General features: G+C 59.0%; 4 protein-coding genes across 27 annotated transcripts, besides 19 other annotated features; 3 read left to right on the top strand and 1 right to left on the bottom strand.

Moving 5' to 3' along the window:
* Positions 1,167–3,239, top strand: CIMAP1B (ciliary microtubule associated protein 1B). 9 transcript variants are annotated; one of them, NM_001014440.4, is made up of 7 exons: positions 1,167–1,188; positions 1,554–1,696; positions 1,892–2,095; positions 2,370–2,474; positions 2,607–2,728; positions 2,813–2,953; positions 3,105–3,239. In NM_001014440.4, the coding sequence occupies exons 2-7, from the start codon at positions 1,588–1,590 to the stop codon at positions 3,183–3,185; spliced, it is 762 nt and encodes a 253-aa protein (NP_001014440.2). In that variant the 5' UTR covers positions 1,167–1,188; positions 1,554–1,587; the 3' UTR covers positions 3,186–3,239. The 9 variants fall into 9 exon arrangements, with proteins under 9 accessions (NP_001014440.2, XP_047297335.1, XP_047297334.1 ...); NM_001382807.1 differs by lacking the exon at positions 1,167–1,188 and having other exon boundaries at positions 1,508–1,696; positions 1,963–2,095; XM_047441380.1 differs by lacking the exon at positions 1,167–1,188 and having other exon boundaries at positions 1,508–1,696.
* Positions 1,186–1,235: a silencer, noted in NCBI's record as "silent region_13994". NCBI's record gives its function as "represses an Ori minimal core promoter by ATAC-STARR-seq in GM12878 lymphoblastoid cells {active_cell/tissue: GM12878}" and the evidence as "EXISTENCE:reporter gene assay evidence [ECO:0000049][PMID:35858748]".
* Positions 1,426–1,615: a silencer, noted in NCBI's record as "silent region_13993". NCBI's record gives its function as "represses an Ori minimal core promoter by ATAC-STARR-seq in GM12878 lymphoblastoid cells {active_cell/tissue: GM12878}" and the evidence as "EXISTENCE:reporter gene assay evidence [ECO:0000049][PMID:35858748]".
* Positions 1,646–1,855: a silencer, noted in NCBI's record as "silent region_13992". NCBI's record gives its function as "represses an Ori minimal core promoter by ATAC-STARR-seq in GM12878 lymphoblastoid cells {active_cell/tissue: GM12878}" and the evidence as "EXISTENCE:reporter gene assay evidence [ECO:0000049][PMID:35858748]".
* Positions 1,936–2,095: a silencer, noted in NCBI's record as "silent region_13991". NCBI's record gives its function as "represses an Ori minimal core promoter by ATAC-STARR-seq in GM12878 lymphoblastoid cells {active_cell/tissue: GM12878}" and the evidence as "EXISTENCE:reporter gene assay evidence [ECO:0000049][PMID:35858748]".
* Positions 2,228–2,733: an enhancer, noted in NCBI's record as "H3K27ac-H3K4me1 hESC enhancer chr22:50969361-50969866 (GRCh37/hg19 assembly coordinates)". NCBI's record gives its function as "activates a minimal SCP1, AML or CMV promoter by ChIP-STARR-seq in naive H9 embryonic stem cells {active_cell/tissue: H9 hESC(naive)}" and the evidence as "EXISTENCE:reporter gene assay evidence [ECO:0000049][PMID:30033119]".
* Positions 2,446–2,555: a silencer, noted in NCBI's record as "silent region_13990". NCBI's record gives its function as "represses an Ori minimal core promoter by ATAC-STARR-seq in GM12878 lymphoblastoid cells {active_cell/tissue: GM12878}" and the evidence as "EXISTENCE:reporter gene assay evidence [ECO:0000049][PMID:35858748]".
* Positions 2,716–2,945: a silencer, noted in NCBI's record as "silent region_13989". NCBI's record gives its function as "represses an Ori minimal core promoter by ATAC-STARR-seq in GM12878 lymphoblastoid cells {active_cell/tissue: GM12878}" and the evidence as "EXISTENCE:reporter gene assay evidence [ECO:0000049][PMID:35858748]".
* Positions 2,956–3,805: a silencer, noted in NCBI's record as "silent region_13988". NCBI's record gives its function as "represses an Ori minimal core promoter by ATAC-STARR-seq in GM12878 lymphoblastoid cells {active_cell/tissue: GM12878}" and the evidence as "EXISTENCE:reporter gene assay evidence [ECO:0000049][PMID:35858748]".
* On the top strand, positions 3,580–7,913 carry TYMP (thymidine phosphorylase). Of its 5 annotated transcripts, none has more exons than NM_001257989.1 (10): positions 3,580–3,761; positions 3,946–4,169; positions 4,327–4,529; positions 5,055–5,153; positions 5,948–6,077; positions 6,382–6,500; positions 6,927–7,089; positions 7,189–7,419; positions 7,509–7,664; positions 7,747–7,913. In NM_001257989.1, the coding sequence occupies exons 2-10, from the start codon at positions 3,956–3,958 to the stop codon at positions 7,893–7,895; spliced, it is 1,464 nt and encodes a 487-aa protein (NP_001244918.1). In that variant the 5' UTR covers positions 3,580–3,761; positions 3,946–3,955; the 3' UTR covers positions 7,896–7,913. The 5 variants fall into 5 exon arrangements, with proteins under 5 accessions (NP_001244918.1, NP_001244917.1, NP_001944.1 ...); NM_001257988.1 differs by having other exon boundaries at positions 3,911–4,169; positions 7,524–7,664; NM_001953.5 differs by having other exon boundaries at positions 3,653–3,761; positions 7,524–7,664.
* Positions 3,816–3,865: a silencer, noted in NCBI's record as "silent region_13987". NCBI's record gives its function as "represses an Ori minimal core promoter by ATAC-STARR-seq in GM12878 lymphoblastoid cells {active_cell/tissue: GM12878}" and the evidence as "EXISTENCE:reporter gene assay evidence [ECO:0000049][PMID:35858748]".
* Positions 4,246–4,405: an enhancer, noted in NCBI's record as "active region_19325". NCBI's record gives its function as "activates an Ori minimal core promoter by ATAC-STARR-seq in GM12878 lymphoblastoid cells {active_cell/tissue: GM12878}" and the evidence as "EXISTENCE:reporter gene assay evidence [ECO:0000049][PMID:35858748]".
* Positions 6,126–6,275: an enhancer, noted in NCBI's record as "active region_19324". NCBI's record gives its function as "activates an Ori minimal core promoter by ATAC-STARR-seq in GM12878 lymphoblastoid cells {active_cell/tissue: GM12878}" and the evidence as "EXISTENCE:reporter gene assay evidence [ECO:0000049][PMID:35858748]".
* Positions 6,286–6,857: an enhancer, noted in NCBI's record as "H3K4me1 hESC enhancer chr22:50965237-50965808 (GRCh37/hg19 assembly coordinates)". NCBI's record gives its function as "activates a minimal SCP1, AML or CMV promoter by ChIP-STARR-seq in naive and primed H9 embryonic stem cells {active_cell/tissue: H9 hESC(naive and primed)}" and the evidence as "EXISTENCE:reporter gene assay evidence [ECO:0000049][PMID:30033119]".
* Positions 6,286–6,965: a biological region, named in NCBI's record as "H3K4me1 hESC enhancer GRCh37_chr22:50965237-50965808".
* Positions 6,296–6,495: an enhancer, noted in NCBI's record as "active region_19323". NCBI's record gives its function as "activates an Ori minimal core promoter by ATAC-STARR-seq in GM12878 lymphoblastoid cells {active_cell/tissue: GM12878}" and the evidence as "EXISTENCE:reporter gene assay evidence [ECO:0000049][PMID:35858748]".
* Positions 6,666–6,965: an enhancer, noted in NCBI's record as "active region_19322". NCBI's record gives its function as "activates an Ori minimal core promoter by ATAC-STARR-seq in GM12878 lymphoblastoid cells {active_cell/tissue: GM12878}" and the evidence as "EXISTENCE:reporter gene assay evidence [ECO:0000049][PMID:35858748]".
* Positions 7,056–7,885: a silencer, noted in NCBI's record as "silent region_13986". NCBI's record gives its function as "represses an Ori minimal core promoter by ATAC-STARR-seq in GM12878 lymphoblastoid cells {active_cell/tissue: GM12878}" and the evidence as "EXISTENCE:reporter gene assay evidence [ECO:0000049][PMID:35858748]".
* Positions 7,223–10,097, top strand: SCO2 (synthesis of cytochrome C oxidase 2). Of its 4 annotated transcripts, none has more exons than NM_001169109.2 (2): positions 7,223–7,419; positions 9,241–10,097. In NM_001169109.2, the coding sequence occupies exon 2, from the start codon at positions 9,254–9,256 to the stop codon at positions 10,052–10,054; it is 801 nt and encodes a 266-aa protein (NP_001162580.1). In that variant the 5' UTR covers positions 7,223–7,419; positions 9,241–9,253; the 3' UTR covers positions 10,055–10,097. The 4 variants fall into 4 exon arrangements, with proteins under 4 accessions (NP_001162580.1, NP_001162581.1, NP_005129.2 ...); NM_001169110.1 differs by lacking the exon at positions 7,223–7,419 and adding an exon at positions 7,520–7,664; NM_005138.3 differs by lacking the exon at positions 7,223–7,419 and adding an exon at positions 8,067–8,193.
* Positions 8,096–8,395: a silencer, noted in NCBI's record as "silent region_13985". NCBI's record gives its function as "represses an Ori minimal core promoter by ATAC-STARR-seq in GM12878 lymphoblastoid cells {active_cell/tissue: GM12878}" and the evidence as "EXISTENCE:reporter gene assay evidence [ECO:0000049][PMID:35858748]".
* Positions 8,885–25,441, bottom strand: NCAPH2 (non-SMC condensin II complex subunit H2). 9 transcript variants are annotated; one of them, XM_005261912.5, is made up of 21 exons: positions 25,220–25,441; positions 17,891–17,945; positions 17,117–17,218; positions 16,183–16,238; positions 16,004–16,088; positions 15,856–15,924; positions 15,613–15,692; positions 15,387–15,532; positions 14,933–15,016; positions 14,345–14,475; positions 12,629–12,700; positions 12,056–12,122; positions 11,817–11,924; positions 11,626–11,679; positions 11,414–11,484; positions 11,250–11,322; positions 11,096–11,167; positions 10,945–10,994; positions 10,743–10,844; positions 10,499–10,648; positions 8,885–10,430 (listed from the first exon to the last, which is right to left on the bottom strand). In XM_005261912.5, exons 2-21 carry the CDS (start codon positions 17,915–17,917, stop codon positions 10,290–10,292), a joined length of 1,740 nt encoding a protein of 579 aa, XP_005261969.1. In that variant the 5' UTR covers positions 17,918–17,945; positions 25,220–25,441; the 3' UTR covers positions 8,885–10,289. The 9 variants fall into 9 exon arrangements, with proteins under 9 accessions (XP_005261969.1, XP_016884282.1, NP_001171940.1 ...); XM_017028793.3 differs by having other exon boundaries at positions 11,096–11,164; NM_001185011.2 differs by lacking the exon at positions 17,891–17,945.
* Positions 15,416–16,349: an enhancer, noted in NCBI's record as "H3K4me1 hESC enhancer chr22:50955745-50956678 (GRCh37/hg19 assembly coordinates)". NCBI's record gives its function as "activates a minimal SCP1, AML or CMV promoter by ChIP-STARR-seq in naive H9 embryonic stem cells {active_cell/tissue: H9 hESC(naive)}" and the evidence as "EXISTENCE:reporter gene assay evidence [ECO:0000049][PMID:30033119]".
* Positions 24,903–25,192: a silencer, noted in NCBI's record as "silent region_13984". NCBI's record gives its function as "represses an Ori minimal core promoter by ATAC-STARR-seq in GM12878 lymphoblastoid cells {active_cell/tissue: GM12878}" and the evidence as "EXISTENCE:reporter gene assay evidence [ECO:0000049][PMID:35858748]".

Genomic DNA, 25,846 nt, shown 5'->3' with positions numbered 1-25,846 from the left:
CCTGGTAGTTAAAGAGGGACCCCTGACCTAACCGGTTATGTTATCTGTAGATTCCAGACATTGCATGGAAAAGCACTGTGAAAATCCCTGTCCTGTTCTGTTCCGTTCTGATTACCCGGTGCACGCAGACCCCAGTCACGTACCCCCTGCTTGCTCAATCGATCATGACCTCTCACGCAGACCCCCTTAGAGTTGTGAGCCCTTAAAAGGGACAGGAATTGCTCACTCAGGGAGCTCGGCTCTTGAGACAGGAGTCTTGCCGATGCCCCCGGCCGAATAAATCCCTTCCTTCTTTAACCTGGTGTCTGAGGAGTTTTGTCTGCGGCTCTTCCTGCTACAGTTTGTAACCAGATTATTTCTGACAAGTTTTGATCCAGGGTTTTTTTTTAAAGATTTGTCAATTTCAAAATATTTGTTTGCTCCTGCTTCCTGTTCTCTCTCTCCCTTTTTTTTTCTTTTTTTAAGACAAGGTCTCACTCTGTCACCCAGGCCGGAGTCTAGTGGTGGGATCACTGCTCACTGCAGGATCCAACTCCCAGACTCAACAGATCCTGCCGACTCAGCCACCGACCCCATAGCTGGGAATACAGATGTACATCATCACACCCAGCTAATTTTTAAAGTTTTTTGTCGAGATGGGTCTCACTGTATTGCCCAGGCTGAGTTTTCTTCTTCTTTTTTTTACATTTTGTTTGCCTAGAATTGTATTTGATTGTAATCAAATCATGTGTCACATCTTTTTTTCAATTTGTGTGATTATTTTGTGGCCCAATACATGATTTTTTTTGCGAATATTTCATGGACTTAAATAGATAAGTCCTCTCTCTACACATAATTAAATGGAGTGTGTGCTTTGCATTATTCAGTTCCTTTATTCCCATCCTTGCTTTTGTCTGCAGATTTGTCCTATTCCAGAATGGGTATACTGAAACTTGGGTAAGGGTGAGGCCAGCGTTCTGGGTGGCCCAGGCTACTATCCCACCCGTGCCACAGAATCCACACAGAGGCCCAGCGGCGGCACTGGGTGGTGGGGAAGGGGGAGGCGGACCCAGGTTGGGGGGGCAGGCAGTCAGTGCGGTTGCCAGGAAGCGGGAAAGGGCCACAATGGGGTCTGGGAGGTGGGCGGGGCGGAGCGGGGATGTCCAGCCACGTCGCTTTGTTTTCCCACGCTAGGAGCTACCACAACAGGTCAGTGCACCTCGGGGCACCGGGTCCCCCACGCAGGCCCTTCCCGGGGCACCCTTTCCCAACAGCACGAAAATCTCCTGCCCCCACCCCACCCCCAGGTGATTCCCTTCACCAAGTCTGGGTCTAGACTTGGCCCCCGCGAGTTCACGTCCCTGCCTAATGCGCCTGGAGTCCGGGTGATGGCCCTGGATCCGCTCCCGGCCCCAAGCTCCACACAGCCGGGAAGGAAGCTCGCGTTTGTTTTGCTGGCGCCAGGGATACGGTCCAGGCCCCGCCCCGCCCCGCGCTGATCCCAGGGTAGTGGGAAAGTGCGCTCCCCAAGAATTTGCGGTGCAGGGGCCGCGGCCACCGCCTTCTGTCCGCAGGTGCTGCGAGCCGTAAGCGCCCCCCACCCGCGCTATGGGCTCGGACGCCTGGGTGGGCCTTTGGCGGCCACACCGGCCCCGCGGCCCCATCGCGGCGCACTACGGAGGCCCCGGGCCCAAATACAAGCTGCCGCCCAACACCGGTAGAAGGGGCAGGCCCCGGGATTGAGGGGTGGGACGGCGCCTGGGGGAGGGAAGGGGAAGAGACCAGGGAGGCCTGCGCTCGGGGCTGAACCGTGCCTGCTAGAGGGGAGAGGGGGTCTGTGCCGGGGGAGGGTCCGTGTTGCAGATGGGGCTTGGGGCTGGGCCCGGCCAGACGCTAACTCGGATGCTCCCAGGCTACGCCCTGCATGACCCGTCGCGGCCGCGCGCCCCCGCCTTCACCTTCGGCGCGCGCTTCCCCACGCAGCAGACGACGTGCGGCCCCGGGCCAGGCCACCTGGTGCCCGCTCGCATGACCGTGCGCGGCACCGACGGCGCCCCCGCCTACTCCATCTACGGCCGCCCACGCCGCTCAGCGCCCTTCCTCACTCCGGGACCTGGTCAGGACCCCCGGGCCCCTGGCCACCCCAACGCCGAACTGCCTCCAGGGAGGCCCACCTGGGAACCCCCGACCTGAACCCCGAGTCCCCCTCGGATACCCTAACACCGCATATTCGGTACCCCCATATCCGGATCTCAAATCCCAAACCCCGAACCCCACGGGGCTTTGATAAATCGTGGCTCAGACTCCCCACTAGTCCCAGGACCCCATCTCGGGTACCCACCAGGCTCCCACGCAGTTCTAGCCCCCCACACCCTTGATCCGCCCCGCAGGCAGGTACTTCCCGGAGCGAGCGGGGAACGCGACGTACCCCAGTGCGCCTCGGCACACCATTGCTCCCCGAAACTGGGGTGTCCAGGCGGAACAGCAGAGCCCAGGTGAGGTCAGAACGGCCCATCCCAGAACTGTGGGCCTTCCCACTCGAGACCGGGGACCGCCCTCCGGGAGCTGGGACCACCCTGCGCCTGTCCGCGGAGACCCACTACCCCCGAGCCCTGCCTCCTCCCCAGGTCCCGCGGCCTATACGGTGCCCTCGCTCTTGGGTCCGCGCGTCATCGGCAAAGTCTCCGCCCCAACTTGCTCCATCTACGGCCGCAGAGCGGCTGGCAGTTTCTTCGAGGACCTCAGCAAGGTGGGGGAGGGGCCGGGGCGGACGCAGGGGGTCCCTGGTCCGCGGCAGTGGAGGCGGCAGCCAGCACCCTCTGCCCTCTCGCAGACCCCGGGCCCCTGCGCCTATCAGGTCGTGAGTCCAGGGGTCTACAAGTCCCGGGCCCCCCAGTTCACGATTCTGGCGCGGACTTCGCTCCCCCAAGACAACACTCGGAAGCCAGGGCCCGCGGCCTACAACGTGGATCAGGTGGCCTGGAGCCCAGGGTCAAGGGTCAGAGTCAGGAGAGTGGGGAGGGCCTGAGGTCGGAGTGATGGGATCAGAGTCCCCGGGGGTCCAGGGGTCCCGGCGCGGAGAGGATGCCGGCCCCGCGAGGTCAGCGGTGTCTCCGGGCCCGCAGCACCGGAAGCCCCGCGGCTGGAGTTTCGGGATCCGGCACTCGGACTACCTGGCCCCGCTGGTGACCGACGCGGACAACTGACCCGCCAGGCGGGAGCGGCCCCACACGTGTTTGCTTAAAGTCTGCGAGTCCGCATCGTGTCCGCCTCTCTCTCTCTCTCTCTGCGCGTCCTGGCGCAAGGCCTGGGGTGGAGCCACGGCTGGGGCCGTGTCCCAACTCCGAACCCAGCGGGGCGGGGCCCGAGCGTCGGGCGAGGCCGGGACCCCAGCGCTGCGCCGCGTCCGAACGTCGAGACCCCACCGAGGGCGGGAGGGGGACTCTCGGGAGCCACAGACGCCCGAGACCCACGCCGGGCGGGACCGGCCAGGGATCACCCCCGCCGACGGCCCCGGGCCCCGACGGCCCGGAAGTTCCGCGTGTCCGGGGGCACCGGGGGATTGGCCGGGGCGCGGCGTGCAAGGCTTCCCGGGGGCGGCGACTGCCGAGCTCCGCCCTCCAGGCGGCCCCACCCGCCTGCCGTCCTGGGGCGCCGCCGCCCCGCCGCCGGCAGTGGACCGCTGTGCGCGAACCCTGAACCCTACGGTCCCGACCCGCGGGCGAGGCCGGGTACCTGGGCTGGGATCCGGAGCAAGCGGGCGAGGGCAGCGCCCTAAGCAGGTACGGGCGGGGCTCAAGTCGCGAGGCGGGGAAGCGGGAGGCAGACACGGACGAGGGCGACACAGACACGGGACCGAGGGGCGGACACCGGAGAGACACGGGAAAGGGGTCGGGACAGGAGCACGTGGCTCAGACACCGACGCCGGGAGGCCGCAGACCCCGGACGTGTCAGGCATCCCCGCAGGCCCGGAGCGATGGCAGCCTTGATGACCCCGGGAACCGGGGCCCCACCCGCGCCTGGTGACTTCTCCGGGGAAGGGAGCCAGGGACTTCCCGACCCTTCGCCAGAGCCCAAGCAGCTCCCGGAGCTGATCCGCATGAAGCGAGACGGAGGCCGCCTGAGCGAAGCGGACATCAGGGGCTTCGTGGCCGCTGTGGTGAATGGGAGCGCGCAGGGCGCACAGATCGGTGCGTGGGGAGGGTTGGGCGTTCCTGACCCCGACTGGGAGGTCAGCCCGAGAGACTTTGGGTCCCTGGGGGTGCGACGGTGCCCCACTACCAGCACCGGCCCCAGGGTGCCCCACCGCTGTGGGCTGCCACCCTCACGCGTACCCCCACATACCAGGGGCCATGCTGATGGCCATCCGACTTCGGGGCATGGATCTGGAGGAGACCTCGGTGCTGACCCAGGCCCTGGCTCAGTCGGGACAGCAGCTGGAGTGGCCAGAGGCCTGGCGCCAGCAGCTTGTGGACAAGCATTCCACAGGGGGTGTGGGTGACAAGGTCAGCCTGGTCCTCGCACCTGCCCTGGCGGCATGTGGCTGCAAGGTTAGAAACCACCTCCTTTCCAGACGGGAGCCTATACCGCACATGCAGCAACCAGTCCATCCACAGGCAGCTCCCAACCTCAAGCCTGGCCCAAAGCCTCCAAGACCCTACCAAGGCTTCTCCCCACCCTGCTCCCCAGCACAGTTCTCCCCACCCCGTTCCCCAGCACAGCGCTTGGGGCCCCTCTGGCTCCAGACCAGGCCCCTTGGAGCAGGAAAAAGATCCACTGATGGAATTCAGACCCCTTTCCCCTTGGGTCCCCAGACAGCTCCCCCAAGGGAGGAGCTGAGGACTTTCCTCCCTCTGCCCCAAGCCTTGTTTCCCCAAGGACAGGTACCAACCTCCTCCCCTACTGACACTTCTCAACCAAGAAAACTTCCTTTCCATTCCCTCACCAGCTGGGCACCCCTATAGCTGCTTAAATACTTTCCAAATCCAGCTGCACTCCTAGCCAGGGAAGGTGAAGGGATGCACAGAGGTGGGGGAGGGGTACTGTGCAGGGTACTCAGCATCCCTGACCACCAGGTGCCAATGATCAGCGGACGTGGTCTGGGGCACACAGGAGGCACCTTGGATAAGCTGGAGTCTATTCCTGGATTCAATGTCATCCAGAGCCCAGAGCAGGTACGGGGCGCCACGGATCAGTCATTAATCCAGGTTGATGATGGAGACCCTGGCCAGAATCACTAAAAGATCACTGGTGGATCATTAGGGTCACTAATGAGAACACTGGTCAAGGTTACTCATGAGTCACTGGGCCTGGGCCGAAATCATCAGTGGAACTTTGATTAGGATCATAAAATGGGAAGTTGGTCAAAATCACAGATGGCTGGCGGGGCACGGTGGCTCACACCTGTAGTCCTAGCACTTGGGGAGGCCGAAGAGGGCAGATCCCTTGAACCCAGGAGTTCAAAACCAGCCTGGATAACACGGCAAAACCCCATCTCTACAAAATAGTTCGCTGCGTGTGGTGGTGCACGCATGTGGTTCCAGCTACTCAGGAGGCTGAGGCAGGAGGATCACTTGAGCCTGGGAGGTCTAGGCTGCAGTGAGCCGGGACGATGCCACTGCACTCCAGCCTGGGCAACAGAGTGAGACCCTGTCCCAGCACTCTGGGAGGCAGAGGAGCCCAGTTGGAGATCAGCCTGGGTAATATAGTGAAACTTGATCTCTACAAAAAAAAGAAGAAAAAAAAAAGCCGCGTGTGGTGGTGCGCACCTGTAGTCCCAGCTACTGGGAAGCTGAGGTGGGAGGATCACTTAAGCCCAGGAGGCAGAGGTCACAATGAGCCGAAATTGTGCCAACTGCACTCCAGCCTGGGCAACAGAGGAAGACTCTTCACAGAAAAAAAAAAAAAAAAAAAAAAAGCTGCTAAGTCATTTACCATAAGTCACTGAGAACAGGGGATGTCTGACCAGATGCAAGTGCTGCTGGACCAGGCGGGCTGCTGTATCGTGGGTCAGAGTGAGCAGCTGGTTCCTGCGGACGGAATCCTATATGCAGCCAGAGATGTGACAGCCACCGTGGACAGCCTGCCACTCATCACAGGTGACCTGACTCCATGGCCTGCTTCTGCATGTTCACAGGCTCCTGACCTCCAAACTCAAGTCAAGGGCCTCTCGTTAGGAGTTACCCGTCACCTGACCGTGTGCCCCCCTACCCCCATCACAAGATGCCTGACCACCACCATGTGGGGTGGCCTGATACTCAACCCACCAGGTGCTGCCACCCCCATAATAAGGGACTTGACCCTCAATGCTCAGGGCCCCTGACCCCAAAGTCGGCATCCCCGAACTCTCCCAAGAAGCTCCAGGTTCTCCATTGTCTCCAACCTCCTCTGCCTCCCCCAAAGCCTCCATTCTCAGTAAGAAACTCGTGGAGGGGCTGTCCGCTCTGGTGGTGGACGTTAAGTTCGGAGGGGCCGCCGTCTTCCCCAACCAGGAGCAGGCCCGGGAGCTGGCAAAGACGCTGGTGAGCGGTGTGGCCTTTCCCTGGGCAAGCGTCTTGATGCGGGCCCAGCCTACCCTTCACCCCTCCCGTCCCCACTGCCTCCCTCCACTCAGCAGTCCTGCCTAACCCCAGTCCCACCCTCTTCTGCCCGAAGTCCCTCCCTCCTTCACGGCTTCCTAACCTGCTGTGACTTTAGAGGTCAAGGCTGGCCCGGCCTGGACCTGGGGAAGCCCTCTGTGGCGTTCCTGCCCCAGACCAAGTACAAGTTCCTCCTGGCCCCATGGCGAGGTGTCGCACTTCACTCGTGTCTCTTCCCCACCCCAATCCTTCCCTGACTTCATGCTGGGGGGCTGGCAACCCAGGGTGCAGCAGGGGCTGGAGTTCGACCAAGAACCGGCTGCAGAAGGCCCCGCCATGGGGGGTCCACGCTGAGCCTCCTCTCCGCAGGTTGGCGTGGGAGCCAGCCTAGGGCTTCGGGTCGCGGCAGCGCTGACCGCCATGGACAAGCCCCTGGGTCGCTGCGTGGGCCACGCCCTGGAGGTGGAGGAGGCGCTGCTCTGCATGGACGGCGCAGGCCCGCCAGACTTAAGGGACCTGGTCACCACGCTCGGTGAGGGGGACGGGGTGTAGGGGAGCGGAGGCGGCGGGGGGTGCTTCCCGCTGGGGCCGCCCCGACCCGGCCGCGCCTAAGACCCGTCCCCGCCCGCAGGGGGCGCCCTGCTCTGGCTCAGCGGACACGCGGGGACTCAGGCCCAGGGCGCTGCCCGGGTGGCCGCGGCGCTGGACGACGGCTCGGCCCTTGGCCGCTTCGAGCGGATGCTGGCGGCGCAGGGCGTGGATCCCGGTCTGGCCCGAGCCCTGTGCTCGGGAAGTCCCGCAGAACGCCGGCAGCTGCTGCCTCGCGCCCGGGAGCAGGAGGAGCTGCTGGCGCCCGCAGATGGTGAGCGTCGGGGGAGTCCCCGTCCTTCCGCCTCCGCCATCCCCTTCCCTTCCCGAGGCCCCGCCCCTTCCCGAGCCCGCGCCTCTCAGCCCCTCTCCCCGCAGGCACCGTGGAGCTGGTCCGGGCGCTGCCGCTGGCGCTGGTGCTGCACGAGCTCGGGGCCGGGCGCAGCCGCGCTGGGGAGCCGCTCCGCCTGGGGGTGGGCGCAGAGCTGCTGGTCGACGTGGGTCAGAGGCTGCGCCGTGGTGAGCGCCGCCCCCGCCCTGCTGGCCCCGCACCCCCGCCCAGCTCCGGCCGCGCGGCCTCTAACAGCCCCTCGCTCTGCAGGGACCCCCTGGCTCCGCGTGCACCGGGACGGCCCCGCGCTCAGCGGCCCGCAGAGCCGCGCCCTGCAGGAGGCGCTCGTACTCTCCGACCGCGCGCCATTCGCCGCCCCCTCGCCCTTCGCAGAGCTCGTTCTGCCGCCGCAGCAATAAAGCTCCTTTGCCGCGAAACCTTGTCAGTGCTTGGGCGGGAGCGGAAGGATCCAGGGCTGCGGAGGCGGGGGCCGTCTCGATGAACACGTGACCCCCGGCGGGCTCCGCCTTCCGCGCACGCGCTGAGAGCCTGTCAGCGGCTGCGCCCGTGTGCGCATGCGCAGCTCCGGGGACGCCTGCGCCCTGCCTGTGAGCGTGTGGCGCCCGCTTTCCCTGAGCCGGCGGGGCAGAGCGCAGGGAGCTGGAGGTCGGCGCTTCCTCTCGTGCTTGGTCCACTGACGCGCGGCCCCGCCGCGAGGTGCGGACGCCGGGGCTGGGAGGGGAGGAGGTAGCCCTGAGGACTCGCTGGACTCCGGGGTAGTTTCCCAGCTCCGGCTACTGCGCGGGGCTGGCGGGGCACACCCCAGGGCGCGCTGGAGGCCGGAGCGAGGCTGGGGCGCCCGTGGGAGGCTCCCAGCAGGCACCGGTGTTCTCGCGGCCAAGCACAGTTATAACGCGCTCGCGCGGCGCTTCGAGTGGTCCTGGAACCTTTCTGGCCACGAGGGCGCTGGCCTTGCTGGGGAGGGCACAAACCCAGAACCGCCCGGGCGGGGGTGCAGTGAGTCCTCGGGAGGGTGCCCTCAGCAGGAGGGGGCAGTGACCGGGAGTCCTGAGACCTCCACCTAGCAAACCTTCTGCGGGGGCCCGTGGGAAAGGCTCAAAGGTCACCAACGCAAAGGCAGGGCGTCGGCTGTGAGCCCGGAGGAGCTGCTGGGAAGCCTGGATGTGAGGAGGGTGGGGTTTTGTGGCGGGTGGAAGTGTCGTGCGTCTCTGCCAGGAGAGGTTAAACACAGCCGGCGGGCAGAGTCTGAGCTCCGGGGGTAGGTCGTGCAGGTTTTCTGCTGGGAGTGTGGAGGAAGGCCGCGGTTGGTTGAAGTGGCTGGAGGTAACAGGAAAGTGTTGGAGGAATCGGTTGCTCTCGGGGATTGCAAGCCAGAGAGTTACCCACCTCCTTTTAAGAAATGGGTTTATTGCAAATAGATAACGTGGTTAGTTCAGGCAAGGCATGCACTTGGAATGCTTTCCGTCAGCAAGAGGTTCACCTTGCTGAGGTGCAGGTGCAGGGCAGGGTGCGGTGACAGGCTGGTGATCCCAGGTAGAGGACAGGAGTGACAGGTGTGGTTGCCCAGGTGTGGATGTTTGGTGGAGGTGGAGTTCTGAGCTCAGGTGAGCAGCTGCAAATGCCTGTTAAGCCTGAACGTGGGCTGGGTCCTTCAGATGGGTGGCTGGTCTCAAGTCGCAGGGGCAGCCCAGGCACTGTCCTGGGCCTTCCCTTCTGGCTCCTGACGCCTGTGCTTGTTTCCAGGAGCATCAGATCCATGCTGCTGCTGACTCGGAGCCCCACAGCTTGGCACAGGCTCTCTCAGCTCAAGCCTCGGGTCCTCCCTGGGACCCTGGGAGGCCAGGCCCTGCATCTGAGGTCCTGGCTTTTGTCAAGGCAGGGCCCTGCAGAGACAGGTGGGCAGGGCCAGCCCCAGGGCCCTGGGCTTCGAACCCGGCTGCTGATCACAGGCCTGTTCGGGGCTGGACTCGGTGGGGCCTGGCTGGCCCTGAGGGCTGAGAAGGAGAGGCTGCAGCAGCAAAAGCGAACAGAAGCCCTGCGCCAGGCAGCTGTGGGCCAGGGCGACTTCCACCTGCTGGATCACAGAGGCCGGGCTCGCTGCAAGGCTGACTTCCGGGGCCAGTGGGTGCTGATGTACTTTGGCTTCACTCACTGCCCTGACATCTGCCCAGACGAGCTGGAGAAGCTGGTGCAGGTGGTGCGGCAGCTGGAAGCAGAGCCTGGTTTGCCTCCAGTGCAGCCTGTCTTCATCACTGTGGACCCCGAGCGGGACGACGTTGAAGCCATGGCCCGCTACGTCCAGGACTTCCACCCAAGACTGTTGGGTCTGACCGGCTCCACCAAACAGGTTGCCCAGGCTAGTCACAGTTACCGCGTGTACTACAATGCAGGCCCCAAGGATGAGGACCAGGACTACATCGTGGACCACTCCATTGCCATCTACCTGCTCAACCCTGACGGCCTCTTCACGGATTACTACGGCCGGAGCAGATCGGCTGAGCAGATCTCAGACAGTGTGCGGCGGCACATGGCGGCTTTCCGCAGTGTCCTGTCTTGAGCCACTGCAGTCTGGGCCCCATCATTAAACGGGCTGCGTTTAATCTGTGTGTGTGTGTGATCTGTACCAGCGGCCCAGGGAGGCCAGGCAGCCCTCTTCTCTGCGCAGGTGTACATAAAAGGGTTTTTAGGGGGAAGATGAGATGGCAACACTGCTTTATTAGGCCGGGCCAGCCAGGAGCAGACACACGGCTCCTCAGTACACATTCCCCCACCCCTGCCTCGGTGCTCCCCACTCAGGGCTGGGCCATGGAGGGGGCAGCGTAGGTCTGGAAGCGCTTGTGCGCTCGCTGGTGCGTGAGCAGTCTCAGGGACATGGTGTCCACGGCCATCTCCAGCCCGGGCTGCTGGGTTATCTCCACTGTGTAGTCATTGGCCTGCAGGGGTGGCACATCAGCAGGGTCTGGGGACCGTCTCCCCCTCCCACGTATCCCAGGCTACTCACCAGCTGCAGGGAGGCCAGCATGGAACGACACACCTCGAAGGCCGGCTGGCCAGCCACCAGCTCCGCAAAGGGACACCACTCATTGAGCTGGGGGAACCGTGAGACCAGCTGGTCCCCATAGGTGTGGATGTCAAAGGGCACATGCTGCTCCTGCACAGGGGAGGGGCATGTTGGCTGCGGAGAGAGGCAAGGCCCTGGACAGACCCGTGGCACACAGCTCTGGTTCCCAGCGGCCCCGCCTCACCTGCTCCTGGAGCAGAGGCTGCACTGTGTCCTCCCAGTCCCTGATGCGCTGGCTCAGCTCTGTCTCCTGGACAAACTTCTGGGAGGTGGCGATGAAGAGCTCCTAGGGGAGGATCAGCAGGAGCTACTGCCTCCCAAGCAGGGGCCTGGGCACCGCTCACCTGTCCCCCTCCCCTCCCCGTCTCCCTCTAACCCAGGCCTACCACATTCCTTCGAACCAGCTCCTCGTAGCTCAGGGACATCGGCACTGCGTCTGGGAAGGGGTAGCTGTGAGCTGGGCAGCTAAGGGGCCACGCTCTCCCCTGCCCCCAGCTCCAGTGGCCCCTCAGCACTCCTAGCCCGCTGCCCACCTACCAAGGTCAGCGGCTTCCCTGGGGTCTGCTCCCTCGGGCTCCATGTACTCCTCAGGCTCTAGAAAGTCATCTGCTGGGAGGTGGGAGAGTGAACAGCACGCAGGCAGCTAGTCGGCAGGTGCCAAGCCCCACCCCACCCCCTGGCAGGCACCCACCTGCTGCCCCCAGGTCTTCCAGGGAATCCTCCAGGTGGTCCTCCTCTGCAGGCCGCAGCCACTGCTCAGCCACCTGTCCAGAGAAAGCATCTGTGAGGGGCACTGTCACCTCCCATCAGGGCCACCACGGGGTCCTAGATCACAGCTGACCAGCTGGGACTTGCCTCCCTCCTCTGCAGCTTCCGGAGAGTTTCCAACTGCTCCTTCACGTGTGTCCAGTACAGGACCTCCATGTCTGCAGACAAAGGCCTTGTGAGGGCTCCCTCGTCCTTCCCAGGCCCCGTGCCAGTCCACCCAAGGCTTTGGGTGACACCAGGTGGGGGAAGAGGTAGGGGAAGGAGAGTAAAACTGTCTTCCCCGAGGACTTCAGCCTCACCTGCAAAGGACGGACCCTTTCGCCGAAGCCGCCTGCTGTCGGCATGGTCTGCATCTGTGAAAGAACATGCTCAGCACCAGCCAGGCCAAGAGCTGCCCACAGCATTGGGAAAAGGGTGCTGATCCTCCTCCACTGGCCCTGGCCCAGCCCCCAGCTCCCAGTGGTCCGGAGTGCACACCACACCCACTCACAGGCAGCCAGGTACCACTGGTGGAAGTCCTGCAGCTTGGCAGCGCCCTTCCTCTTGCGCTTCTGTCCCAGAGCCTCCTCCACACAGGGGGGCACAGAGTAAGGCCTACCTGGGGGCAAACAGGGACTGTCTTAGAGCCGCTGGGGGATCAGGGTGCAAAGCCCACTCCCACCCCCCCACCTCATGCCCCAGGAAACCCAGCCAGGGGTACCTGAGTGGAGGTACCTTCCACCCAATTACCTTTCTTGAAGGGCTTAGACTCCAAGGAGTCAAAGGGGTCCAGGCTCTGCCAGGGGTCTGGAGTCTCCTGGGCACAGAGCACAAGAAGGCGCTGGAGAAGTAGGGGGTGCACAGCCGTCCCTCCCAAAGGAGTAGGGGATGCACAGCCACCCTCCCAAAGGAAGAGTAGGGGGTACACAGCCGCGCTCCCAAAGGAGGAGTAGGGGGTGCACAGCCACCCTCCCAAAGGAGGAGTAGGGGGTTCACAGCCACCCTCCCAAAGGAGTAGGGGGTACACAGCCACCCTCCCAGAGGAGTAGGGGGTGCACAGCCGCCTTCCCAAAGCCCAGGCAACAAGTGCAGTGACAGCCTGGGGCAGAGCCGACCACACTCAAATCCTGGATCACAGAGGGGAACACTAGAGAGAGGGTGGGAGCCCAGAGTCGCATGAGGGGGTCTTTAAGAGAGCAAGTGCAAAGGGCCACAGGCTGGGAACACCACAGGCCAGCAGGAGCAAGAGCATGATGGGCAGGCAGCCAGTCCTCGAATCCGCCCATCCCTCCCTGCCGGGGGTCAGGGCCCCAACACTCCTACCTTCACGCAGGATGCAGGCTCTGGGGCCCCCTCCCGCTCCCGCAGCATGTACCTCCTGGGCAGGGCAGCACTCTGCAAAGACAGTCACAGGGTCCCCACTTCTCCTCTTTCTCCCCTCAAGGCTCTGGGTACCCCAGGAACTCCACCTTGGGTTAACATCAAGAACCCTACAAGGGTCGGGCGTGGTGGCTCATGCCTGTAATCCCAGCACTTTGGGAGGCCAAGGCGGGCAGATCACCCGAGGTCAAGAGTTTGAGACCAGCCTGGCCAACATGGTGAAACCCCCGCCTCTACTAAAAATGCAAAAAAAATTAGCCGGGTGTGGTGGCGCACACCTGTAATCCCACCTACTCGGGAGGCCGAGGCAGGAGAATCGCTTGAACCCAGGAGGCAGAGGTTGCAGTGAGCCGATATCACACCACTGCACTCCAGCCTGGGCAAAAGAACAAGACTCCGTCCAAAAAAAAAAAAAAAACCTACAGGGACCGGACACAGTGGCTCACGCCTATAATCCCAGTGCTTTGAGAGGCCAAGGCGGGTAGATCACTTGAGCCCAGGAGTTCAAGACCAGCCTGGGCAATGCAGTGAGACCCCGTCTCTACAAAAAATACAAAAATTAGCCGGGTGTGGTGGTACACGCCTGTAGTCCCAGCTACTCGGGAGGCTGAGGTGGAAGGATCACCTGAGCCTAGAGAGAGTCAAGGCTGCAATGAGCCAAGATCAGGCCACTGCACTCTAGCCTGGGCAACAGAGCAAGACCCTGTCTCAAAAATAAATAAATAAAATAAGATAAAAATAAACCCTGCTAGTACTCTCTGGGGGTATTAAAACAAAAACCCTAAGAAAAACTTTAAAACACAAACAGTGGGCCGGGCGTGGTGGCTCACGCCTGTAATCCCAGTGCTTTGGGAGGCCAAGACGGGCAGATCACGAAGTCAGGAGATTGAGACCATCCTGGCCAACATGGTGAAACCCCGTCTCTACTAAAAATACAAAAAATTAGCCAGGCATGGTGGCGGGCGCCTGTAGTCCCAGCTACTTGGGAGGCTGAGGGAGGAGAATGGCGTGAACCCGGGAGGCGGAGCTTGCAGTGAGCCAAGATCGCACCACTGCACTCCAGCCTGGGGGACAGAGCAAAACTCCATCTCAAAAAACAAACAGAAAACACAAACAGTGGTCACGGGGTACTCTTCTTCAAAACTAGGAAAAATGAATAGAATATGACAAATATCCATGCCATCTACCAACTAGAGTGAAGAAACGTTAACATTTCCTCTGTATGCATCAGGTTGATTTTGTTTTAATGAATAAAAAGGAAGGATTTCTTGGCTCTAGGCTGGGTACAGTTGACCCCGGGGGTTGAGGGAGGCAGCAATGGCCTCCAGACACTCCCTCCTACCAGCCCGACTGCAGAGAGGCGCCTTGGCAACCGGCGGCCATCCCAGGTTGCCGTGAGCTCGACAGGGCTCAAATCCTTGGACGCCAGCCCACTACTCTGAGGAGCATCAGTTCTGCTCAGAGAGGGGAGGAACACAGAAGCTGCTCTTCAAAAGGGCTGGTTGCAGGACGGGCTGCAAGACAGGTGGGCTTCTGCCCCAGACCAGTGGTCTGGGGCCAAGGCCATACCACTGTCCTCCTTGTGCAAGGTGACTCGGCCCCAGAGCCAGGGTTGCCAGTTCACAGCTCAGGTTCTGCAGGCCTCCATGTGGGTCCCACCTGCTGCGGGCTCCTGGACTCCTTGGGCTCCAGAGCGGCCTTGGGGGCCGAGGCCTCAGGAAGCTCTACTGCCTCCTCTGCATCCTCGTCCTCGCCCCCACCCAGGGGCATCGGGCCTTCTGGAGAGGGGCCTAGGCAGGGAGCAAGAGAGTGATCAGCTCCAAGGAGTGCCGAGACCAGACGGCACCAAAGGGACCCTGATGGCTACTTCCTCCCTCAGCTTTAGTCACGGAGCCCAGAGGATTTGGCGGGTGCCTTGCACCATCCTCGTCGTGCTCCTGTGCTCTGTGCTCTGCTTGGTTCATTTTATTTCTTAGCAAATGTTCCTCTTTAAATGCAGCCATCCACATCTGCCCAGAGAGGAGACCCAGGAGGGCAGTCAGAGGGCAGTCAGTGAACCAAGATGGGCTGAGGCTCACCGGGGGCTGTGGCTGCTTCCCCGGGGCGAGGCCTCACTCCCATGGGCCACAGAAGGGGCATGAGGCTGGCAGCTGAGAGCAGCCCCTTGGAGCCCTGTCCACTGGGTGCTGCCTCCCTGGTCCCCTCTTTGGCTGCCCTGCCAGTCCCACCGGGGAGCTCTCTTCTCACCTGGCTCCTGGGAGAAGCCGAGTGCTGGGACAGGGCTCCTGCACACGGAAACTTCCATTGGCTGCTCCTCAGTCCTCCCGGTGTCTGGGAGAGACAGGGATCAGACAAGGTCAGCCCAGCCCCTCTCCAAGATGGTCCCTGCCCGGTGTTCAACAAGCCTCTCCAAGGGGCCAGCAGGAGGGCAGAGACCAGCAGACTCCAGGCCTTGGGCTGGGGGGAGACAGCAGGGCCCTGAGCCAGGCACCAGGTCTCTGGCACTGAGACCATGTTAACTTGTAATCAAGGCACAGCAGATGGGTGGGATGAGCACCAGCCAACCTGTCTAGACTAGAGCAGGCACCCAGAGACAGGGAGCTCCCAAGACCAGAGGTGGCAAGCACAGGGCACCCCACAAGAGTCCAACCAGAAGACCCTCCCTTCCTTCCCACCAAGCCCCCCGCATCCAAGCCCTCACCCTTCTGGGTCCCTGGCATGGGGGAAACGCCCGCTGGTTCCATGGGGGACATGCCCTCTGGCTCCAACATGAAGGCCCCTCTGGGGTGGGGAACGCACGTGTTCATCCTGAAATCCTTCCGGCTGGCCAGGACCTCACCCTGACGGCTGTGCTGGCAAAAACACGCCTGCTGTAGAGACCCTTCCCAGGCAGGCCTCCCTCCCCGTCGCTGGGCTCAGATCCCTACCTGTACAGGGGATTGTTGTTCTTCTCCATTTCATCAGGGGCCACCAGGGCCATGGGCAGGAGGGGGATGATGAGGACCTCCTGCATGGAGGCCAAGGGTGGGTGAGCCAGGCACCCTTCCACTCCAGTGGAGAACAGGACCCACATGGGGCAATGACACCTTCCCACACCCCATCAGCTCAACACAGCCCCAGGGAAAGTGCTGACCTCACCCCAGCCTAAGAGGGGCCAGGCCAGGACTCACACTGGGCGTCTGATCATTCTTGAGATCCACGTTAGTCCGGGAGTCAGGGAAGTCATCCAGCGACAGGAACTGGAGGGAGACAGAGCTCGTGGGGGCGGAGCCCAGGCAAACACACAGTGGGCGGGGACCACATGCCAAAGAAACTCACCTCATTCTCTGCCTCCTGGGGGACCCCGGAGCTGGCAACCCCATTGGCCCTGTCCTCCTGCACCGAAGAGAGCTGCTTGGCCCGCCTGAGAGAGAAGCACATCCCGTGGGCATCCCAGGAGCTGCAGGGGCCTCCCTGGCCACATGCAGGGCAGCACAGTGAGTGGCTGCAGAACTCACCTCTTTCCAGAGATGAAATCAAGGGCCTGGTAGACGAGTGAGTAGAGGTATTCCACCTGGTGACCAGATGCAGGCAGTGAGGACCCAGAAAGGAGGGGCCCACCCCCAAGGCCTTCCCAGCTATCCATCGGTGCCCCCACGAGGCCTGGCCACCACCACCAAACCTCCAGTACAAGAAACCACCAATTTTGGTTCCAAAAATAATTCTCAAATCAAACCAGGAATCTCATGAGAATTACTTTACCAGCTGAGGCCACCCACATCTCTCCTCTGCCCTCTATGGTCCACGCAGCCGCGAGCGTGGCCTTCTCAACGTGTGACCCTGACAGCACTGTGGTTCCCACAGTGTGCCTCATCACACGGTCCTTGGTGGTGAGGCCCCTCGTGCTTGGCACCCACTCTGCCGACGGCCTGCAGCCCTGCTGCTCCTCCGCCCGTGTGCTCCCGCCAGCATCACCCCAGCCCCTCCTCCTGTCCTGGCCCTGCCCTGTCCCAGCTCCTGCCGCCACGGGGCCTGCAGGACAGAGCCCGTCACTCACTTCCTGTCCTTCTCCTCCACAGAACAGAGGCCCCACCGTGAGGGTGGTGGTTGTGGACTTTCTAGGTGCTGACAATGAGGCACCCACAAGTAGGGGACGGGGAAGGGGAAGGTGGGTGCAGGTGGCACCCTGGGCTGTGTCCAAGTGCACACAGCAGGTGTCATTCCCCCAAGACAACAGAGCCCAACAGCACAAAAGACCCTCCCTGCCTGGCTGTGCGATTTTAAATTAAAAATTGTTCTTGGTGTTGGAAGGTGCTGAGGAATTGGCTGAGACCTGAGGAGAGAGGGAGGTAGGTCACAGACGGGACGACCACTGCACCTGCCCCAGAAGGAGAGCCGACTGTGGTCCCACTGGCCACCAAAATGCCAAGACCAGCGTCAAGCAGGGCCCACCTTCTTACTGTAGACGCAGGCAGAGCCCTGGATCAACAACGCTGCCTCAATGAAGTTCATTGTGGTCTTGCCTTCGTCAAAAGAAATGCAGATCTGATCCAGCTGCAAGAAACAACACAAAGACAGGGGGAATCCAAGGCCCAGTCTGCACTCGCTTCTTCCAGGGCAGCCCCACCCATCTTTGGTCTCTGCCCAGCACCTCCCGAGACGGGCAGCTCTAGCTATGCTGTGGGCTCACCGGTTGTCCCTGGTATTTCGGGGCAGAGACAGGTCTCTGTGTTTCCCCCTACTTCCTATAACAAAAACCTGTTTTGGAAGTGGAAGGCCCCCAGGGCACACTGTCTACAAACAACCAGGGCAGCACAGCGGCTCCCTCCACAAGGCGCCAGAGGCTGACAGACTCCAGCAGGAAGATCCCCGACACAGAGAAGAAAAGGGAACCTCAGGGGTAGGAAAGGCAGAGATAAAATGCTGAGGTCTCCATCCTCTGAGCAGAGAACTCAGGAAACAGTTACAGGTGAGTCGCCATCCTTCCTCTGCTCCCCTCAGCCTCCCGGAGCCCCAGCTCCTCTGTCACCCCTTAAACGTCAGTGCGCCAGGCGCTCCACCCCCCGCCATGCACATTCCTTCATCCCATGCCCAAGCTGCCAACCATAAGCCAATGAGCCCCAAACCCAACCCGACCAGCTCTCTCTCCTTAGCTCTGGGGCTGCATTCATAGCTGTCCACAGAGTACATTCAAATGTCCCCAAACACTTTACTTCCATACTTTACCCAACATCTTCCCCAACGCTGGCTCATCTCCTGTATTCCTTCTCAGCAAATGACACTTTAAAAAAAAAAAAAAAAAAAAGGCCGGGTGCGGTGGCTCACACCTGTAATCCCAGCACTTTGGGAGGCCGAGGCGGGCAGATCATGAGGTCAGGAGATCGAGACCATCCTGGCTAACACGGTGAAACCTCGTCTCTACTAAAAATACAAAAAATTAGCTGGGCGTGGTGGCGGGCGCCTGTAGTCCCAGCTACTCGGGAGGCTGAGGCAGGAGAATGGCATGAACCTGGGAGGCGGAGCTTGCAGTGAGCCGAGATCGCGCCACTGCACTCCAGCCTGGGCGACAGAGCGAGACTCCGTCTCAAAAAAAAAATGTTTTTGTAGAGACAGGGTTTCTCTATGTTGCCCAGGTTGGTCTCAAACTCCTGGCCTCCAGTGATCCTCCTGCCTCAGCCTCCCAAAGCACTGGGATCACAGGCATGCACCACCGTGCCCAGCCACAAACGACACTTTGAAGCCCCTAGGTGTCTTTCCAGCTCTTCAATTTTGCATTTCCATCTGCCTGGAACACCGACCCCCAGCTGTCCCCACGCAAACTCTTTTTCAGAGCCCCTCCATTCCTGGGGCCTCTGTGCCGCTCCCTTAGTGTGATCGTGTCCCTTAGTGAACTGTGTGAGCAGCATTAGTGTAATTCCAGCCTTCTGTTCAGTGCCTGACACTGGTGTCCAGTAAATATTTGATGAACACATGCATAGATAATGTCAAAGCTAAGCCTGAAAAACGCAGAGGCTCACCAGACAGATGAAGGGAACGTGAAGGCAGCTAGCAGAGACTGGACACGTCTCTTCAGGAAAATGAGCATGATCTAAACATGGCCAAAGCATGGCGCGTGCTGGGGAGAGGCAAGATTTTAGGCACCATGGTAGCACGAAGGAGTGGCAGAGGCTGGGAAGCCATCCCCAAGGGGAGTCACTTCCATTAGCTCTTGAAGGATAAAGGGTGTTTGTCAGATCTGGGAGGAAGGGAGAGGAAACAGCAGCATGGTCGTCTACGGAGTGTAAGGACCTCGGGGGTGTTCAGGACCTGAAGAGCTGGTCCAGAAAGAAGGGAACATGGAGGAGATGGCGGCCTGGAAGCTGAGCTGCAGAAGTGGCCCTTCTCTCCAGTGACCCTCAGCCTGGCTGGCTTGCCCACTCCCAAGACACTACTGGGCTTCACTTGTCTTCTCACCTCCCCAGGTTGGACCTGCCATCTGAGCCCAAACCCACATGTTCAGCTGCCTTCTTCAAACATCGCTTGGATGGCTTCACCAAGATTCATACTGAATGCATCCACACTGAACTCCAAATAGCCCCCAACCCACCTGCCCAGAAACCCAGGGGTTCCTCTCCACAGTCACCCCCATTCTGGCCCCACCACCTCCCCTTTCACCTCTGCACTGACAGGGCTCCTCCTGCCCTTCACTCCCCTCCCGTCCACTCTCCACGCTCTGCTCAGTGCCTCTGTTTAGGATTTTGGGTTTTTCCTAACAGTGGCAGGAAAAACCCAAAATCCTAAACGGAGCCAGAGGGAGGCCTCCATGCTGGCCAGCCTCCCTCTCCAGCTGCCTGCCCTCCTCTGCTCTATGGTCCCAACTTGGAACCTTCTGTTTTGTTTTGTTTTGTTTTGTTTGAGACGGAGTCTCACTCTGTCACCCAAGCTGGAATGCAGGGGCGCAATCTCAGCTCACTGCAACCTCCGCCTCCTGGGTTCAAGTAATTCTCCCTGCCTAAGCTTCCTGAGTAGCTGGGATTATAGGCGCCCGGCTAATTTTTGTAAAAACTCCAATCCTTCCAACACCAGGTTTCCTCCACCTGGAGCTAAACATTCTTTAGCTCACCATAAATAAGTAACTGCTTTCATCTCAAACAAACTAAGCCCCCCAAACTCTCCACAGGACCATACATTTTCTTTCAAATCCCTTATAAGTTTCTGGTGATTTTTTCGGTTGGTTGGTTGGTTTTGGTTTTTGTTTTTGAGACAGTCTCTCGCTCTGTTGTCCAGGCTGGAGTGCAGTGGCACAATCTCGGCTCACTGCAACCCCTGCCTCCCAGGTTCAAGTGATTTTCCTGCCTCAGCCTCCCAAGTAACTGGGACTACAGGCATGCACCACCATACCTGGCTAATTTTTTTTGTACTTTTAGCAGAGACAGGTTTTCACCATGCTGGTCAGACTCATCTCGAACTCCTGACCTCAAATGATCCTCCTGCCTCGGCCTCCCAAAGTGCTAGCATTACAGGCGTAAGCCACCTCGGCCTCCCTAAGTGCTGGGATCACAGGCGTGAGCCACCTCGGCCTCCCTAAGTGCTGGGATCACAGGCGTGAGCCACCTCGGCCCCCCAAAGTGCTGGGATCACAGGCGTGAGCCACCTCGGCTCCCCAAAGTGCTGGGATCACAGGCGTGAGCCACCTTGGCCCCCCAAACTGCTGGGATCACAGGCGTGAGCCACCTTGGCCCCCCAAAGTGCTGGGATCACAGGCGTTAGCCACCTCGCCTGGCCATCAGTTTCTGACTACACAAAGTCACACGCAGGGGTGGAGGCTGGATTCTGATCTGCCAGGAACCACTATCATTCAGAGTACATCTCTAACGCCTCTACTAACAAGGTTTTTGTGAGGACTCTGCATTCATATGTGTAAAGCACATAAAACAGGTGCTTAACACAAGTAAACACCAAATGCATATTTATTACACCCCCATGCGGTTACTCTCTTGGACCCGTCTTCCCATGACAGAGGAAGTCCTACCATAGTGGGGATTATCATTTGCTTTGCTTGGCACTATTTTTTCAAAGTTTAACATGGTTCTTGGCACACAATTCACAACTAACAACAATGAATAAATAAATGGATAAAAGAGAGTAGGATCATGACAGTACTAGAAGAACATTCTGGCCAGTGCAATGGCTCACACCTATAATCCCAGCACTCTGGGAGGCCAAGGCAGGTGGATCACTTGAGCTTGGGAGTTTGAGAACAGCCTGGGCAACACAGTGACACCCCATCTCTACCAAAAATACAAAAAATTAGCCAGGTGCGGTGGCACATGCCTGCAGTCCCAGCTACTTGGGAGATGGGAGGATCACTTGAGCCTGGGAGATCGAGGCTGCAGTGAGCCATGATTGCACCACTGCACTCTAGCCTGGGCAACAGGGCAAGAACCTATCTAAAAAAAAAAAACAAAAAAAAAAAAACAAAGGACAAAAAAAAGAAAAAGAACATCATGGTAGTGTGTGGAAAATGACAGAAGGAAAAAGATAATACTAGAAACCAGGAAATCAGGACTTCAAGCTGCAGAGGTTTGGAAGAGCAGACATAAGAAAGCAGGAAGGGAGCTGACCAAGCCAGGAAGGAGATTTACCAAGTGAACAGGTGTCCTCATGGACCCTGCTTGATGTGAAAACCTGAATCCACAGGAGCTCTGCCCAGCACAGTTCCCCGTATTTTCTCAGCCAACTATGCATGAGAGCAGAGAAGTTTGGTCATCAGATCACATGTGCATTTAACAAACACTTTAACGTCCACACCTATGTGCCAGGCACTCTACTAAGCAGACAAAAGAGGGCATAAGTATGGTCCCTGCCCTGGCAGAATTCACATTCTAGGGTGGAGACAGGCCACAAACAGGTAAATGAGTTGAAGAATGGCTTGTGGCCAGTCGCAGTGGCTCACACCTGCAATCCCAGCACTTTCAAAGGATGAGGTGGGCGGATCACGAGGTCAAGAGTTCAAGACCAGCCTGGCCAACATGGTGAAACCCCATCTCTACTAAAAATACAAAAATTAGCTGGGGCCAGGCACGGTGGCTCACACCTGTAATCCCAGCATTTTGGGAGGCCGAGGCGGGTGGATCACGAGGTCAGGAGACCAAGACCATCCTGGCTAACATGGTGAAACCCTGTCTCTACTGAAAAATACAAAAAAATTAGCCAGGCGTGGTGGCGGGCGCCTGTAATCCCAGCTACTGAGGAGGCTGAAGTAGGAGAATGGCGCGAACCCAGGAGATGGAGCTTGCAGTGAGCCGAGATTGTGCCACTGCACTCCAACTTGGGCCACAGGGCAAGACTCTGTCTCAAGAAAAAAAAAAAAATTAGCCAGGCGTGGTGGCAGGCGCCTGTAATCCCGGCTACTCAAGAGGCTGAGGCAGGATCGGACGCGGTGGCTCAGGCCTGTAATCCCAGCACTTTGGGAGGCCGAGGCGGGTGGATCATGAGGTCAGGAGATCGAGACCATCCTGGCTAACACGGTGAAACCCCGTCTCTACTAAAAAAATACAAAAAATTAGCCGGGCGTGGTGGCGGGTGCCAGTAGTCCCAGCTACTCGGGAGGCTGAGGCAGGAGAATGGTGTGAACCCAGGAGGTGGAGCTTGCAGTGAGCCGAGATTGCACCACTGCACTCCAGCCTGGGCGACAGAGTGAGACTCCGTCTCAAAAAAAAAAAAAAAAAAAAAAGAGGCTGAGGCAGGAGAACTGCTTGAACCCAGAAGGTGGAGGCTGCAGCAAGCTGAGATTGCACCACTGCACTCCAGCCTGGGTGACAGAGTGAGACTCCATCTCAAAAAAAAAACATATAAATAAATAAAATTTTTTTTGGCTGGGCGCGGTGGCTCATGCCTGTAATCCCAGCACTTTGGGACACCGACACGGGCGGATCACCAGGTCAGGAGATCGAGACCATCCTGGCTAACACGGTAAAACCCCGTCTCTACTAAAAATACAAAACATTAGCCGGGTGTGGTGGCAGGTGCCTGTAGTCCCAGCTACTCGGGAAGCTGAGGCAGGAAAATGGCGTGAACCCAGAAGGCAGAGCTTGCAGTGAGCTGAGATCATGCCACTGCACTCCAGCCTGGGCGACAGAGTAAGACTCCATCTCAAAAAAAAAAAAAATTTAAATGGTTTATGATAAACATTCTAAAGTGTGTAAGGTGCTGAGATGGAGAGGACTATTTTAGATAGGGTGGTCAGCTGACATTTACACTAAGACCTTAAGAATGAAAAGGACTCAGTCAGCCAGGCGTGGTGGCTCACGTCTGTAATCCCAGCACTTTGGAAAGAGGCAGAGCTGGCTGGATCACCTGAGGTCAGGAGTTTGAGACCAGCCTGGCCAATGTGGCGAAACCCATCTCTACTAAAAATACAAAAATTAACTGGACGTGGTGGTGCATGCCTGTAATCCCAGCTACTCGGGAGGCCAAGGCAGGAGAATTGCTTGAACCTGGGAGTCGGAGGTTGCAGTGAGCCAAGATTCTGCCATTGTACTCCAGCCCGGGCAACAGAGCAAGACTCCATCTCAAAAAAAGAAAAGAAAACAAACTCAGTCATTGAAAGAATATTCCCAGCCAGGTGTGGTGGTGCACAGCTATAGTCCCAGCTACCTGAGAAGCTGAGGCAGGAGGACTGCTTGAGCACAGCAGTTTGAGACCAGCCTGGGCAACACAGTAAGATCCTCCTCTCTGATTTTTTTTTTCTCCTTTTCCTTGCCATATGAAGTCCCTCTTTATTTAAAAACAAAAAAGAGGCCGGGCGCGGTGGCTCACGCCTGTAATCCCAGCACTTTGGGAGGCCAAGGCAGGCGGATCACGAGGTCAGGAGATCGAGACCATCCTGGCTAACACGGTGAAACCCTGTCTCTACTAAAATACAAAAAAATTAGTTGGGCGTGGAGGCGGGCGCCTGTAGTCCCAGCTACTGCAGAGGCTGAGGCAGAATGATGTGAACCCAGGAGGCGGAGCTTGCAGTGAGCTCAGATCGCGCCACTGCACTTCCGTCTCAGAGTGAGACTCCGTCTCAAAATATATAAATAAATAAATAAAAACAAAAAAGAAGATTCCCAAGTGGGGGCAGAAAGCATGAAGATCTTCCACCAAGAAAAAGCTTGGAGGGGCCATAGGTTGACTGGTTCAAAAGAACAAGATACAAAACAGCCCAAAATGAGGCTAAAATGGAGAGCAGAGCCAGGTTCAGAGAAGGAAATTTGGGTTTTATTCTGGGCATAATGGAAAGCCACTGAGGGGTTGATTTTAGGCAGAAAACAGTGCTGTGGCCAGATTTTAATTTTTAAGAGTCACACTTGCTGCTGGTTGGAGCACGAATTGGACGGGACAAAAACAGGGATAAGGGAACCCAAATAGGAAGGTTTTACACAAATCCAGGCCAGAGACAATGGTGGCCTAGACCAAATAAAATGGACAACAGATGAATTCAAGTGATATTCCGGTGGTATAACTGATGGAATTCATGGATGAACTGAGTGTTAAGCATGGGGCTTCACTATAGCCACATTTAGCTTTTGCTTTTGGTTGAACAGCGGTGTCATTTTCCGAGATGGGAAAAGCTGGGGTTTAAGCAGAAAAATGAAGAGTTCCACTTTAAATATGTTAAATGAGATGTTTGCGTGACACCCACTAGATGTCAAGAGAGCAGCTGGATATGTAAAGTAGATTTGGAGGAAAGATCTAGGATGGAGCTGCAGATCTGGTAGTTGTCCTAATACAGGCAATATTTAAAATCATAGAAATAAATGACACTTCAGGGTAAATGCATCAGAAGATGACCTAGGCCCCATCCTGAGGAACTCAACACTTAGAGACTGGATAGAAAAGAAAAATCAGGCAATGAAATAGGGAAAAAAAATCCTACCACCATGTTTCAAAAAGAAAGGAGTGGCCAGTCCAACAAATGCTGACTTATGTCCCTTGGATTTGGTAGAATGGAGATCACTGCTGATCAAGACAAGAAACATTTAAGTGTCGTGGACGCCAGACTGAGCTGGGCTGAGGAGTAAAAATGAAGCGCAAATATGGAGCAGACAGCTTAACACAGGTCTAGACAGGGCTGTCAAACATGGAAGAAACACTAATCGCTAACAGGATAGAGCATGGCAATAGCTTGAAATTGGTTTGAAAATCCAAGATAAAAAATTCCTCTGACATCGTGATCCAGACCTCTCAAACACACAAGCATGCTCGCAATAACTGCAATAAAAGCAATAATGCTTTCTAGTCTATTCCACTACGTTAGAGAAACGGCTGGTCACCACCCACTCAATCATTCACGGCTCGCTGACGGGTAGAAACCTGCAATGACAGGTCCACGCTAATCCAACAAGGGATGATTTGGGGAGGCAGAGATGGAGTTTGAAAAGAAGCAGGGAGCCCGAGGACCTGCGCGGCCAGAGCGCCAGATAGCCATAGGCGTGGAGACGGTGGGGCGCCCACAGCCCCGGGCCCGGAGCCCCCGCCCCGCAGCCCCACCCGCCGGCCCACCCCGCGTCACTCCCCCGCCGCCCTTACCTCCTCCAGATACTCGCCCAGCTGGGCCGCCACGTCCACCTCCCAGTTCTTGGTGAGGTCGCGGATGGGCTGCAAGAGGTGGGCGAAGCGCGCCTCCACGTCCTCCATGTCCGGGAGGGAACGGGCGGCAAAGGGACCGCAGGGCTGCCTTCCGAGGGGTACGGCGTCCTCAGCCCGCCACTAGTTCTGGCGCCATTTTGCTGTTCCCGCCCAGGAAAATGCGTAGGCGCGGCGTCGCGCGCATGTCTATGACGTAACGTGGGCAAAAGCCAGAGAGGCGAACCCCGGCGCCGCGCAGCGGGAGCTCACCGGAAGAGTCGCGGGGCGGGGTCGAAGCCTCCGGGAGGGGGGGGTGGGCGGAGCTTTGGGCTGCCACCAGTTTGGACGGGAGGGCTTTTGGGGCCGCCGTGGGTCGGGCGGGGCGGGGTGGGGCGGGGCCTGGAGCTGCCGCGGGCGAGCGGGCCGAGGAGGCGGGGCTTGGGGGCTGCCACGGGTTGGGGGGGCGGGGCGGTGAGGAGGCGGGGCCTGGGGCAGCCGCGGGCGGGCGGACGGGCCGAGGAGGCGGGGCTTGGGGCTGCCACGGGTTGGGCGGGCGGGGCGGTGAGGAGGCGGGGCCTGGGACTGCCG

The sequence above is a fragment of the Homo sapiens genome, chromosome 22, assembly GCF_000001405.40.
Source record: "Homo sapiens chromosome 22, GRCh38.p14 Primary Assembly".
Lineage (NCBI taxonomy): Eukaryota > Metazoa > Chordata > Mammalia > Primates > Hominidae > Homo > Homo sapiens.
Note: the sequence above shows the minus strand (reverse complement) of the source record. Positions and strands in the feature narration are given on the sequence as shown.

Coding starts and splice junctions, on each gene's coding strand:
- CIMAP1B (XM_047441379.1), top strand. CDS start 1,588: ATGGGCTCGGACGCCTGGGTGGGCCTTTGGCGGCCACACCGGCCCCGC. Junction 2,096..2,369: donor CTTCCTCACTCCGGGACCTG/GTCAGGACCCCC, acceptor TCCGCCCCGCAG/GCAGGTACTTCCCGGAGCGA. Junction 2,475..2,606: donor GGCGGAACAGCAGAGCCCAG/GTGAGGTCAGAA, acceptor CCTCCTCCCCAG/GTCCCGCGGCCTATACGGTG.
- TYMP (NM_001257989.1), top strand. CDS start 3,956: ATGGCAGCCTTGATGACCCCGGGAACCGGGGCCCCACCCGCGCCTGGT. Junction 5,154..5,947: donor TCATCCAGAGCCCAGAGCAG/GTACGGGGCGCC, acceptor ATGTCTGACCAG/ATGCAAGTGCTGCTGGACCA. Junction 7,420..7,508: donor GCTGCTGGCGCCCGCAGATG/GTGAGCGTCGGG, acceptor CGCGCCTCTCAG/CCCCTCTCCCCGCAGGCACC.
- SCO2 (NM_001169109.2), top strand. CDS start 9,254: ATGCTGCTGCTGACTCGGAGCCCCACAGCTTGGCACAGGCTCTCTCAG.
- NCAPH2 (NM_001185011.2), bottom strand. CDS start 25,327: ATGGAGGACGTGGAGGCGCGCTTCGCCCACCTCTTGCAGCCCATCCGC. Junction 17,219..25,219: donor TGGGCGAGTATCTGGAGGAG/GTAAGGGCGGCG, acceptor TGTTTCTTGCAG/CTGGATCAGATCTGCATTTC. Junction 12,123..12,628: donor AGCCTGCATCCTGCGTGAAG/GTAGGAGTGTTG, acceptor CTCTGTGCCCAG/GAGACTCCAGACCCCTGGCA.